The sequence below is a fragment of the Homo sapiens genome, chromosome 16 (genome assembly GCF_000001405.40).
Source record: "Homo sapiens chromosome 16, GRCh38.p14 Primary Assembly".
In the NCBI taxonomy this organism is placed as follows: Eukaryota; Metazoa; Chordata; class Mammalia; order Primates; family Hominidae; genus Homo; species Homo sapiens.
Genome location: NC_000016.10, coordinates 1368746 through 1381128, shown reverse-complemented (window position 1 = coordinate 1381128; position 12383 = coordinate 1368746). Strand labels below are relative to the sequence as shown.

The 12383-nt window shown below is 61.4% G+C and overlaps 1 protein-coding gene and 1 pseudogene across 32 annotated transcripts in view, besides 5 other annotated features; one reads left to right on the top strand and one right to left on the bottom strand.

The window, feature by feature from the left end:
* UNKL (unk like zinc finger) overlaps positions 1-12383 on the top strand; it is a 51500-nt gene that overhangs the window by 33576 nt on the left and 5541 nt on the right. For 17 of the 32 annotated variants that reach the window (XR_007064900.1, XR_007064899.1, XR_007064898.1 and 14 more), the window contains 2 exons: positions 9518-9610; positions 10772-10999. Coding sequence is in view for 19 of the 32 variants with exons in the window: in XM_047434489.1 (XP_047290445.1) it covers positions 9518-9610; positions 10772-10999 (321 nt within the window). In the remaining 13 variants the exon portion in view is untranslated. Of the gene's footprint in view, positions 1-1476; positions 1597-2097; positions 2216-9517; positions 9611-10771; positions 11196-12383 lie in introns of those variants that run through there. The other 15 variants (XR_007064903.1, XR_007064902.1, XM_047434495.1 and 12 more) reach the window with 7 other exon arrangements.
* Positions 1357-1496: a silencer, noted in NCBI's record as "silent region_6976". NCBI's record gives its function as "represses an Ori minimal core promoter by ATAC-STARR-seq in GM12878 lymphoblastoid cells {active_cell/tissue: GM12878}" and the evidence as "EXISTENCE:reporter gene assay evidence [ECO:0000049][PMID:35858748]".
* Positions 1527-1606: a silencer, noted in NCBI's record as "silent region_6975". NCBI's record gives its function as "represses an Ori minimal core promoter by ATAC-STARR-seq in GM12878 lymphoblastoid cells {active_cell/tissue: GM12878}" and the evidence as "EXISTENCE:reporter gene assay evidence [ECO:0000049][PMID:35858748]".
* Positions 1647-1696: a silencer, noted in NCBI's record as "silent region_6974". NCBI's record gives its function as "represses an Ori minimal core promoter by ATAC-STARR-seq in GM12878 lymphoblastoid cells {active_cell/tissue: GM12878}" and the evidence as "EXISTENCE:reporter gene assay evidence [ECO:0000049][PMID:35858748]".
* Positions 1767-1836: a silencer, noted in NCBI's record as "silent region_6973". NCBI's record gives its function as "represses an Ori minimal core promoter by ATAC-STARR-seq in GM12878 lymphoblastoid cells {active_cell/tissue: GM12878}" and the evidence as "EXISTENCE:reporter gene assay evidence [ECO:0000049][PMID:35858748]".
* Positions 5458-5957: an enhancer, noted in NCBI's record as "H3K4me1 hESC enhancer chr16:1425173-1425672 (GRCh37/hg19 assembly coordinates)". NCBI's record gives its function as "activates a minimal SCP1, AML or CMV promoter by ChIP-STARR-seq in primed H9 embryonic stem cells {active_cell/tissue: H9 hESC(primed)}" and the evidence as "EXISTENCE:reporter gene assay evidence [ECO:0000049][PMID:30033119]".
* On the bottom strand, positions 9246-10016 carry TJP1P1 (tight junction protein 1 pseudogene 1; annotated as a pseudogene).

Below are 12383 nucleotides of genomic sequence, written 5' to 3'. Positions count from 1 at the left end.
CATCCGCGTAGCTGACCTTCAGATGGACTGGAGTTAGCACATTTGTAGTCATTTTTCCAACCATTCTTTCGTATCTGAGGTACGTTTTTGACCTGTTTTAGTATGTCACTCGCGATCTTGAAGCACACTCTTTCATTTACTTAAATATTTCCTGAGCCGTGAGCAGTGGCTCACGCCTGTAATCCCAGCACTTTGGGAGGCCAGGGCGGGTGGATCACCTGAGGTCAGGAGTTCAAGACTAGCCTGACCAACATGGTGAAACCCCATCTCTACCAAAAATACAAAAATTAGCTGGGTGTGGTGGCTTGCTCCTGTAATCCCAGCTACTCAGGTGGTTGAGGCACGAGAATTGCTTGGACCGCAAAGGCGGAGGTTGTAGTGAGCTGAGATCGTGCCACTGCACTCCAGCCTGGGTGACAGAGCGAGACTTGTTCTCAAAAAAAAAAAAAAAAAAATCCTGAACCAGCTACTCAGAGGTGAAGAGATGGATTTTTTTTTTTTTTCAGGATCGACACTGCCTTAGTTAGAGGCAATGTATTGTTGCTGCTGCTGCGGCTGAAATTGTGAGCTTTGCCACCCAGTGCCAGCCTCACTTTTTTCCTCTGTCCATGTCTGAGACATCGCTGTAAAGTTACATCCCTGCACTAGCCACAGGCACTGGAGGCAGTGTCCTGCCCGCTGACCCCAGGGCACTCCTGCGCCCCAGGCTCAGGGACTCCCTGCCCATGGCTCCCGGGACTGTCTGGCCCCAGGTGTAGGCCCGCCTGGCTGCGTGTGTATTTTATTAGCTGTTGTAGAGGGTTTTGGACAAAGCTGGTGTGTAGACTGGGTCGTTTTTTCCTTGTGTTAATAGTACAGTTTCCTTCAGGTTGTAGGTGTACTGTGACTGGAGCACGGAATAGAAGAAATGAGCGGATTCTGTATTTAAGGGATTTTTAGTGGGATCATTTCAGACCCATCTGATAGGTTCCATTTTCCTTCATCTTACACTTCATAGGAACAGGTTTCAGATTAAGAGAGACCTGCGAGCTCCGTACCCCGCGTTTAGATGGGGCTGGGCAGGCACGCGGACTTGGGAGGGAGGAGGGTCCTGCAGGGCAGGCAGCGGCCCCAGCTCACGCCGCCCCGCCCCGCGAGCGCCCCTGTTGGGTCGACCGTGTTTCACCTGAGTCCGCCCGGAGCAGCTGCAGGTGCAGGTGGGCAGGGCAGGAGGAGCCGGGCAGCGGGGCAGCTCTGGGGCTTTCTGCCTGAAGACCTCTGGCCCCCGCTGCCCGCGCCCACTTGCCCGCCCAGCTCGTAGCCAGGAGCCGCGGGGACCGGGTGCGCCCGAGTCGGGGGGAAGGTTGGGGGAGGGCAGCGCGGGGGGCGTGGCCAGTGCGACGGGGGCGGGGCCGAGTCACGTTGCGGGGCGGGGCCAGCGCGGAGGGGGCGGGGCGCGGGCCGGGTTTGAATCCCCGGCGGCGGCGCGGGGCGGCCGCGGACCGTGAGTCAGCATTGGCGGCGGCCCCAGCGCGTGGCAGCCGTGCGCCGCCAAGGTGCGGGTCTCGTTACTCGGCGGTCAGGAGCGGGCCCTCCCTTAGGTGCGCCCCCCGCCAGGTGCGTCCCCCGCGTCACGGAGCCGGGTGTGACAGCCGCGGGGTGGGCCCGGGCTTCTCAGAGGCCCGGAGCGAGGCGAAGGCGTCGCCTTCTCGGAACCTGCCTCTGCCGGGCGCTCGCCGCTTCCCAGCGCGGGCTCGGGCCGCCTGCGTCCCCTAGCTAGGCGGGGTCGGTGCCCCGAGGGAGGGCAGGGGAGCGGGGCAGGAGAGCGGAGCGGAGCGGGGCAGGAGAGGGCAGGGGAACGGGGCGGGGGAGGGCCGACCCCTGCGTCCTGGCCTGGCCCGCCTGCACTCAGCCCGCGTGGTACGGGAATTTCCCTGGCGTCGGCGGCTCCCCCGCCCTGTCCTGAGTTCCGAGCAGTCTGTAGCTTGTCCTCGCGTGTCCCTGACCCCGGGGGACCGCGGCGCCTTGAATGTGCTGTGTCACGGCAGAGCCGGGCTGTGTCGCGGTGACTCAGCGGGGCCGGTGGTTTCCTAACGCCCGGGGCTGAGGCAGCCTGGCCTGACCCAGCTGTACTCGCTTAGGTGACCAGCCTCACCTAGATTTTGCCTCTGCACAAGGGTCAGCTCTTTCTTTGAGAATGTTTCAGAAGATCTGGGTCTAACCTTGAAACAGTGAGGTGAGGTGGGGGAGAAGCTGCGGGTGAGAAAGTGGGCCAGGACGGTGCAGCAGCCGTCTCCCCCCTTGATTTCTGGGAGTGAGCCCTAGATAGCACCCTAGGGGTGGTGGAGCCTCCAGGACCCTCTCCGGTGCTCTCTTTGGATGAGGGGCACTTGGCTTTGAAGCGGGGCCGGAGTCTCTCGGGGGCACCCACACGCTCCCTGAACGTCCCCTCTCCAGGCAGCTTCCCGGGCTTCAGCACAGGTGACTTGGCTGAGGTAGGTGGTGGCTGACGCCCTCTGAGTTGAGTGCGAGCCGTAGTTTGTCGGGTGAGCATTGAAGGCAGCTTAGCCCCTCCACATGCTGCGCACTCTGCAGCTGGTGGGTGAAGCTTCTGCCGACTTAGCACGGAGCCTGGTGGGATCACCCCACTCCAAGGGGAGAAAAGGCGCCTCCGTTCCTGTCCCCCAACTTCTTTGCGTCTTTGATTTTCATGAGGAGTTTCTGGATCTCTGCCAGGTGTGAGGGGCGGTGAGCTCTGAAGGGGCTGCCATATCCTGATCCTGGGACTTGGGTGCAGAGGGCAGGTCCAGGTTCCCGAGCCTGGCTGACCTGACTATGGGCAAACCGCTTGGCCCTGCCCGTCATCAAGCCCCCGTATGGGAGCATGAGGGGGCTGTGGGCAGGCCTGCGGGTTGGGGGGTCGGTGCCTGTCCTCAGTGAGTCTGTCCAGGGCCCTGACATGGTTCAGGCTGACACCTGCAAGGATGTAGTGGGGGGCATTCCATGCAGGGCTTGGAGGCCGAGCAGCTTTCTGGGGACTGGTGTGGCTGATCTTACTGAATGGAAGGCACAGCCAGGCTGAGCCTGCAGTGGCACAGCAGGTTAGGAGCCCGGCAAAGGACCCATTGGGAAGCGGTGACCGGCACGCGCAAGGGCACAAGCTTCCTCCTTTCTTGCAGGTCAGGATTCAGGATGCAATGAGGCTTTTCTTGGTAGGAAGGTTACTATTGCAATGCATGAAGGCAGGCTGGGCATGGGCCTCAGGGGGTGTGGGTTGAGCGAGCAGCCCATGAGGAAGGGATCCTGCAGTGCCAGCTTCCAGCAGCCCCTGCACACGTGGTGTCTGGGAAGGGCCTGCAGTGGGGCCATGGGAACAAGCAAGGGATCCTTTGCCAGGGAGGAGGAAGGGCTTTGGCCCCTGCTGGACATCTGGGCTCGGGGCTGCAGAGCCACTGTGTTGGGCGGGTCCAGGCCACAGGAGAGGCTGCCAGCCCTCAGGGAGGAGGGTGGGCCTGGGAGGGAAGCTGGTGCCTATGACAAGAGGCAGTTCAGGGCACAGGCGCAGGGCTGGAGGGAAGGGCCCGGGGCAGCGGTGGGCAGAGTGAGTGGTGAGGAGGCCCCAGAAAACAGCTGCAGGGGGAGTGGAGGCAGAGGGGGGGTCTCCTTTCTGAGGGAGGACTCAGGGAGGGAGGGCTGTGCACAGCAGGGGCCAGATCTGTTGATACAGAGTCCTGAGGGGCCTGGGGAGGACGGGCAGGACCAACAGGGGCATCTGCAGGTGGGCCCCCATGTCCTGGGTTGAATTGTGTCCCCTGAAAGTTGCATTTGAGGCTGGGCATGGTGGCTTGCACCTGTAATCCCAGCACTTTGGGAGATGAGGCAAGCAGATCACCTGAGGTGGGGAGTTCATGACCAGCCTGACCAACATAGAGAAAACCTGTCTCTACTAAAAATGCAAAATTAGCTGGGGGTGGTGGAGGGCACCTGTAGTCCCAGCTGCTCAGGAGGCTGAGGCAGGAGAATAGCTTGAACCTGGGAGGCGGAGGTTGCAGTGAGCTGAGATCGCGCCATTGCACTCCAGCCTGGGTGACAGAGCAAGACTCTATCTCGGTTGGGGGGGCTGGGTGTGGCGGGGGAAGATGCACCTGAACCCCAGGCGTCGCACCTAGGTACGTGGCGTTGCAGGGAAACACAGCAGGTCCTCTTATCCCAGGGTTCGCTGTCCACTGCCTCATTTGCTGGTGCGAGGTCTGGGTTCAGGACAGCAGTGTACAGCATTTGCGCAGGTAACTTTTATTACTGTGCGGTGCTGAAATCTATGTTACCAGTTAATCTTGTTAATCTCTTACTGGGCCTGACGTGCAAATGAGGACGTTCGTATAGGAAAAAGCTTGGTATATAGGGGTTCCGTGCTATCCGCAGCATCAGGCGTCCATGGGGGGGTCTTGGAATGTATCCCCCTGCTACAGATCGCAGGGTGCTACTGCAGGGTCCTCATAACCAGGTTAAAATGAGGCCGGTAGGGTGGGACCCTGAGCCAGTGACCAGTCTCCCTATAAGAAGAAACTTGGACAGACACTCGGAAGAGGTGGCCCCCAGAGCAGAGGCAGACACTGGAGCCACGCAGCTGCCAGCCATGAAGGAGGATGGACGCCAGGAGGAGGAGTGCACCCCAGCCCTGGAGGGAGGAGGAGTGTGCCAGCCCTGGAAAGAGGGAGGAGGAGCATCCCCAAGCCCTCAGAGGAGGGAGGAGGAGTGCCCCAGCCCTGGAGGGAGGAGGGAAGAGGAGCACCCCAGCCCTAGAGTGAGGGAGGAGGGAAGAGGAGTGCCCCAGCCCTGGAGGGAGGAGGGAGAGTGGAGGAGGAGCGTGCCCCAGCCCTGGAGAGAGGGAGGAGGAGCGCCCCAGCCCTGGAGGGAGGAGGGAGGAGCATGCCCCAGCCTTGGAGTGAGGGAGGAGGGAGGAGCATGCCCCAGCCTTGGACTGAGGGAGGAGGAGCGCCCCAGCCCTGGAGGGAGGAGGGAGGAGCGTGCCCCAGCCTTGGAGTGAGGGAGGAGGAGCGCCCCAGCCCTGGAGGGAGGAGGGAAGAGGCCCTGCCCGCCACAGATCTCACTTTCAGCCTTGGAGCCACCTGTCCAAGGCCGCTCAGTGCGTGGTCCTCTGCCACTGCCTGCAGTGTCTCGGCTCTGCTGCTCAGCACGACTTCAGTCAGGCTTTGAGGTCTTGCCCTCTTCAGCCATGGCCTGAGAACGTCAAGTGGATGACAGCGACCGGGAGGGCTGGCCCACCCTGCAGGCCAGGGTGGATGTCCGCTCAGGGACGCCACCGTCCTGTGAATGGGAAGGAGAGGAGTGAATGGCTCTGGGTGCGGCTGGCCCAAGGCCTGCCTTTGGCTCCGCCGATGAGCATCCTTGAGGGCTGAGGCATTTTCGGATGCTACTGTGGGTTCCTGGTCCCCAGGGGGTCTTGGCCTGGCTGCCCCGACCCCCAACCTGTTACTCTAGTTTCTGGATAAGACCTTCGAAAGTCCCTAAAAGCTTCATTGGAACGGTGTCTCCGTGGGAGTGGAGGCCACTCCCGCATGCGCCGTGTGCCGTCCCGGACGCCCCAGGGGTTCAGGTTCTCTGCCCTGGGCCCTGCTGCCTCTGTGACGGGATGGGGAAGGACAGTGTTGCCAGGTGGCGCCACAGCCCGGCCTCCACGCCCCGGAAATTCCCTCACGGCTGGCGTGTGGACGAGGGTTGAGTCTGGGTCGTGCTGTGCGGTGGAGTGGGGTGGGGGTGGCCTCTGCCTTGCGGCCTCTGGAGTCCACCGTCCACTCCCGAGCCAGGCTTCTCTCCCGCCTGCCGCTCTGGGTGGTGGAGCACGGTCTCCACACAGTGTGGCTGCTGAGCGCGGCCAGATTCGGGGTGAAGTTCAGAGGCCCGGACCTGCCAGCTGCGCCACGTCCACGCCAGCCTCTGCCTGTGCTCCGCTGGGGCCACCACCGCGGCACGAGGATACTCCGGCTGCCCTGGGGGGCTCGGGGGGTGTGACCGCCGAGCGCCAGGCCTCGGGCGAGGGGCCACCCGCCACCCTGTGGTTGCTCCCATGGTCCCCGTGGCGCTGACTGGTGCCAGCTGCTTCCAGGGAGGAGAAGCGGAGGCCTGGGCAGAGGGGTGAGGTGCAGGCCACGTGCCCCACAGCTGTGTTCCCGACAAATCTCATGTGCGGCTAGGGCAGCGTTCTTCTTCAGAAGTCACCCTCCTGCCTTTCCTGCTGATTATGCTGAAAATGTCTGGAAAGGCCCCAGCTGTCTTCCCCGGCAGAGTGGGGTTTTGTCCCTCTGCGGCCCCTTGGCTGCCGAGTCCTTGTTTCTCCAGCTGTTTTTTGGGATGCCCCCTGTGTGGTGAACCTGCTGTCACCCTGACATGGCCACCAAGTCCTGACGAGTCAGCCCTGCCTGGCTCAGCCAGCTCCCTGCTGGGTGGGGTGGGTTGTGGGGAGTGAGGCTGCAGGAGGTCTGCGAGGGCGGGACTCGATGTCGGGTAGGTGGGGCAGTGACCGCCTCTTTGCTTCTGCTGGGCCCCAGCTTGTCTGAACCGAGCACCAGGCAGGGGCTGGCCAGGCTGTGGAGGTTCCCGGCGCGCCGACCCCCACGGTCGGGTCTGACAGGTTTCCCCGGGGTGCGGTTGCCTGGGGCCATGGAGGGACCATCGGTCCCAGGTGAGGACAGGAGGAAGGGGGTCTAGGGCCCTTCAGGGACAGGCAGGGGTGGCTTTGCCTGTCTCAGAGCAGGCCTCAGCAGCACACTGTCCAGTACCAGGCATCAGTGAGGGTCCAAGAACTTGCAGCCAGCAGGGACGACAGGGCAGGGCCCCCCAGGAGAGACCCCACACAGCGCACATGGGAGAGTGGATGCCAAAGGTGGGCAGCGGGGAGGGCGCCTGCGCAACAGTCCCTGTGTGGTGTGCCCCACGCTGCTGAGGTCTCTGTGCGGTGTTGGCCGGCAGTCCCTGTGTGGTGTGCCCCACGCTGCTGAGGTCTCTGTGCGGTGTTGGCCGGCAGTCCCTGTGTGGTGTGCTCCACGCTGCTGAGGTCTCTGTGCGGTGTTGGCCGGCAGTCCCTGTGCGGTGTGCTCCACGCTGCTGAGGTCTCTGTGCGGTGTTGGCCGGCAGTCCCTGTGCGGTGTGCTCCACGCTGCTGAGGTCTCTGTGCGGTGTTGGCCGGCAGTCCCTGTGCGGTGTGCTCCACGCTGCTGAGGTCTCTGTGCGGTGTTGGCCGGCAGTCCCTGTGCGGTGTGTTCCATGCTGCTGAGGTCTCTGTGCGGTGTTGGCCGGCAGTCCCTGTGTGGTGTGCTCCACGCTGCTGAGGTCTCTGTGCGGTGTAGGCCGGCAGTCCCTGTGCGGTGTGCCCCACGCTGCTGAGGTCTCTGTGCGGTGTTGGCCGGCAGTCCCTGTGCGGTGTGCTCCACGCTGCTGAGGTCTCTGTGCGGTGTTGGCCGGCAGTCCCTGTGCGGTGTGCTCCACGCTGCTGAGGTCTCTGTGCGGTGTTGGCCGGCAGTCCCTGTGCGGTGTGCTCCACGCTGCTGAGGTCTCTGTGCGGTGTTGGCCGGCAGTCCCTGTGCGGTGTGCTCCACGCTGCTGAGGTCTCTGTGCGGTGTTGGCCGGCAGTCCCTGTGCGGTGTGCCCCACGCTGCTGAGGTCTCTGTGCGGTGTTGGCCGGCAGTCCCTGTGTGGTGTGCCCCACGCTGCTGAGGTCTCTGTGCGGTGTTGGCCGGCAGTCCCTGTGTGGTGTGCCCCACGCTGCTGAGGTCTCTGTGCGGTGTTGGCCGGCAGTCCCTGTGTGGTGTGCTCCACGCTGCTGAGGTCTCTGTGCGGTGTTGGCCGGCAGTCCCTGTGCGGTGTGCTCCACGCTGCTGAGGTCTCTGTGCGGTGTTGGCCGGCAGTCCCTGTGCGGTGTGTTCCATGCTGCTGAGGTCTCTGTGCGGTGTTGGCCGGCAGTCCCTGTGCGGTGTGTTCCATGCTGCTGAGGTCTCTGTGCGGTGTTGGCCGGCAGTCCCTGTGTGGTGTGTTCCATGCTGCTGAGGTCTCTGTGCGGTGTAGGCCGGCAGTCCCTGTGTGGTGTGCTCCACGCTGCTGAGGTCTCTGCGGTGTTGGCCGGCAGTCCCTGTGTGGTGTGCCCCACGCTGCTGAGGTCTCTGTGCGGTGTTGGCCGGCAGTCCCTGTGTGGTGTGCCCCACGCTGCTGAGGTCTCTGTGCGGTGTTGGCCGGCAGTCCCTGTGTGGTGTGCTCCACGCTGCTGAGGTCTCTGTGCAGTGTAGGCCGGCAGTCCCTGTGCGGTGTGCCCCACGCTGCTGAGGTCTCTGTGCGGTGTTGGCCACAACACTGGGCTGGGCTGGGGAGGCGGCGCCGGCCCACAGGGTGTATCCCAGAGCTCCTGCAGCCGCTGCGGTCCTCTGGTCTGCCCCAGGTGGCACGTGGGCTCTCAGATCCCAGATCCTCTGGTCACCCCTCACCCCCAACCCAACTTCTGTGCAGTGGCTGCGGGAGTTTGAGACACGCTGTGGCTTCAGGGGCTGGTGGCCTGAGCTCAGCCTCCTCATGATGGCTTCCTAATTCTAGGAAGGGGCAGTGGGGTCCCTGCTTGCCATTCGGGGTTGGGGGTGGGGACTTGGGAGGGAAGGGCCCGTGCAGGAGGGCAGCCCCACGGCCTGCAGGGATGTGTGGGGACAGCCTTGGAAGGCAGGGCTGGCTGGGTGAGGCCACTCTGAGGCGGGTCCTTCCCACTCAGTCTTGAGCCTTGGGAATTGAGGTCTTGGTGCTTGGCATGAAATTGCACGTGAACACCTGCTCCTTGAAATCACCCTCACAGAAAGTTTTTTTTTTGTTTTTGTTTTTGTTTTTTTTGAGATGGAATCTTGCTCTGTCGTCCAGGCTGGAGGGCAGTGGCACGATCTCGGCTCACTGCAAGCTCCGCCTCTGGGGTTCACACCATTCTTCCGCCTCAGCCTCCCGAGTAGCTGGGACTACAGGCACCCGCCACCACGCCTGGCTAATTTTTTGTATTTTTTTTTTTTTGGTTGAGACGGGGTTTCACCGTGTTAGCCAGGATGGTCTCGATCTCCTGACCTTGTGATCTGCCCACCTCGGCCTCCCAAAGTGCTGGGATTACAGGTGTGAGCCACCGCACCCGGCCCTGGAAAGTTTTTTAAACAGTCGAATGTGCACACGTGGACAGATGCTAACACACACTTAGGTATTTAAACTCTGAGGGGCAGCAGCAGCGTGTCAGAGGCGAGGACCCAGCTGCTGGTCTGTGGTGCGGGGCGTCCCACCTGAGCACGCTCGTTTTGCCGGAGGAACAGCCAAGCCTCACACTGCCTGTGGGGGGCTGCGAGGACGGGCTGGGGGTGTCCTTCCCTGGCTGCCCCAGCAACTCCCACGCCTTCTGCCCTTGGTCTCACTCTAAGCCCAGGTGGGACGGTCGTCCTCCTCAGCTAGGCTTCCTGAGCTCTGCAGCGCTGGGTGGGCTGTGGATGATGGGGGGCTCTGTTGACAGGTTCTGCGTTAGACCTGCATCTTAGCAATGTGAATATTGCATCCCTAGAGAAGGACCTGGAAGAGCAAGACGGCCACGACCTGGGAGCAGCAGGTGAGGGTGGGGAGGACCTGGGGCCCTGCTCCTCCAGCCGCTGAACAGCCAAGTGCTGTGGCCGGAGGATCGCTTGAGCCCGGGGAGGTCAAGGCTGCAGTGAGCTGAGGTTGCACCACTGCACTCCTGCCTGGACCACAGGGCAAGACCCGGTGTCTGGTTTTCGGAGCGGGAGGATCCCCTTCTGGCGGTACCTCCTCCTCCTCTCCCTGACTGCCTCTCCCTTTCCCTCCCCTGCACATGGACTCCTCAGCATCTCTCCTGCCTCGGGCCTGCCCACTTCTTCAGTTGACCTTTGTCCCAGCAAAGTGGCCGCGCAGAGACAGGCGGGGCCTTTCCTGAAAGTCTTGATGGTCCCCGAAGGATAAATGTATTCACATTGTAGACAAAAGATTGACATCCATACAAATGTATCTTTTTTTTTTTTTTTTTTTTTGAGACAGAGCCTCGCTCTGTCGCCCAGGCTGGAGTGCAGTGGCGCGATCTCCGCTCACTGCAAGCTCCACCTCCCGGGTTCACGCCATTCTCCTGCCTCAGCCTCCGGAGTAGCTGGGACTACAGGTGCCCGCCACCACGCCCAGCTAATTTTTTGTATTTTTAATAGAGACGGGGTTTCACCATGTTAGCCAGGATGGTCTCCATCTCCTGACCCCGTGATCTGCCCGCCTTGGCCTCCCAAAGTGCTGGGATTACAGGCGTGAGCCAGTGCGCCCGGCCCCATACAAATGTATCTTAACATCGTATACAACATCTTTTCATTCAGCCTAAAAGTGTATCTTTTCTTTCTTTTAAAAGAAAGTAAACCATTTCAGGGGGCCTGGACAAGTGCTGGGAGGACCGTGCCAATGGCTTAGTTGGCCGGCAGGGCCTGGTGGGTGTCCGGCCTCTTTGGGGGGGGCCCATGTTAAACCCCCGTCTCCCCACCTCTGGTTGGAATCCCTTTGAGCCCATGGCTTGCCCAGCTGTGTTGGACATGGCCACCGGGGGCGCTGTGGCTCCAAACACATAGATGGTGGTGGCTGGCCTGGCCCCTATATTCCCACCCCCCATATCCCCACCACCACCACCTGCAGGGTCCGTCTTCCACGGCTGCCGCCCATGGCAGATGTTTGGGCAGAGGCCTGGCGGTACTCCCTTCGCTGACTGGTCCGCCCCCGCCAGGTCCCAGGTCGCTGGCCGGCTCTGCACCTGTCGCCATCCCCGGCTCCCTGCCCAGAGCACCATCGCTACACTCGCCATCCTCTGCGTCCACCTCGCCGCTCGGTTCGCTGTCCCAGCCCCTCCCAGGGCCGGTGGGCTCCTCAGCCATGACGCCTCCCCAGCAGCCGCCACCCCTGCGTTCAGAGCCGGGCACACTGGGCTCTGCAGCCTCATCCTACAGCCCCCTAGGTGAGTGCCGGCTCCCTCCATGCTGGCGTTGCCGTGAAGCCTCCGTGGGGCTCCCTCCCAGATGCCGTCCTGACTGAGGGGCCTCACACGGAACCTTGTGCCCTATCTGTGGTGGCAAACCACATGACCTGCTGCTCACAGGTTCCCCCACGCCGCAGACCGAGTCTCGCTCTGTCGCCCAGGTTGGACTGCAATGGTACGATCTCGGCTCGCCGCAACCTCCGCCTCCCAGGTTCAAGCAATTCTCCTGCCTCAGCCACCCAAGTAGCTGGGACTACAGGCGGGCGCCACCACGCCCAGCTAGTTTTTGTATTTTTAGTAGAGATGGCGTTTCATCACGCTGGCCGGGCCGGTCTCAAACTCCTGACCTCGTGATCTGCCTGCCTTGGCTTCCCAAAGTGTGGGATGACAGTGAGCCACCGTGCCCGGCTATTTGTTACGTTGTAAAAGAACTAACACTTGGTCGGGTGCAGTGGCTCACACCTGTAATCCCAGCACTTTGGGAGGCTGAGGCAGGCGGATCACCTGAGATTGGGAGTTCAAGACCAGCCTGACCAACATGGAGAAACCCCATCTCTACTAAAAATACAAAATTAGCCGGGTGTGGTGGTGCATGCCTGTAACCCCAGCTACTGGGGAGGCTGAGGCAGGAGAATTGCTTGAACCTGGGAGGTGGAGTTTGCAGTGAGCTGAGATTGTGCCATTATGCTCCAGCCTGGGCAACAAGAGTGAAACTCCATCTCAAAAAAAAAAAAGAGAAAAAGGCCCGGCGTGGTGGCTCACGCCTGTCATCCCAGCACTTGGGGCGCCGAGGTGGGCGGATCACGACGTCAGGATATCGAGACCATCCTGGCCAACATGGTGAAACCCCGTCTCTACTAAAAATACAAAAATTAGGCGGGCGTGGTGGCACATGCCTGTAATCCCAGCTACTTGGGAGGCTAAGGCAGGAGAATCGCTTGAACCCGGGAGTCGGAGGTCGCAGTGAGCTGAGATTGTGCCACTGCACTCCAATCCAGCCTGGCGATAGAGCTAGACTCCATTTCAAAAAAAAAAAAAAAAAAAAAAAAAAAACTAATACTTTGGGCCAACATAGTGGCTCAAGCCTGTAATCCCAGCACTTTGGGAGGTCGAGGTGGGTGGTCACTTGAGGCCAGGGGTTCAAGACCAGGCTAGGCACCATAGTGAGACTCCTGAGTCTACAAAAAAATACAAAATTTTAAAAGTTTTTATTTTTTTAAAACAAAGTTTCACTCTGTCGTCCAGGCTCCAGCAATCTTGGCTCACTGCAGCCTCTGCCTTCCGGGTTAAAATGATTGTCATGTCTCAGCCTCCCGAGTAGCTGGGATCACAGGTACCTGCTACCACGCCAGGCTAATTTTTG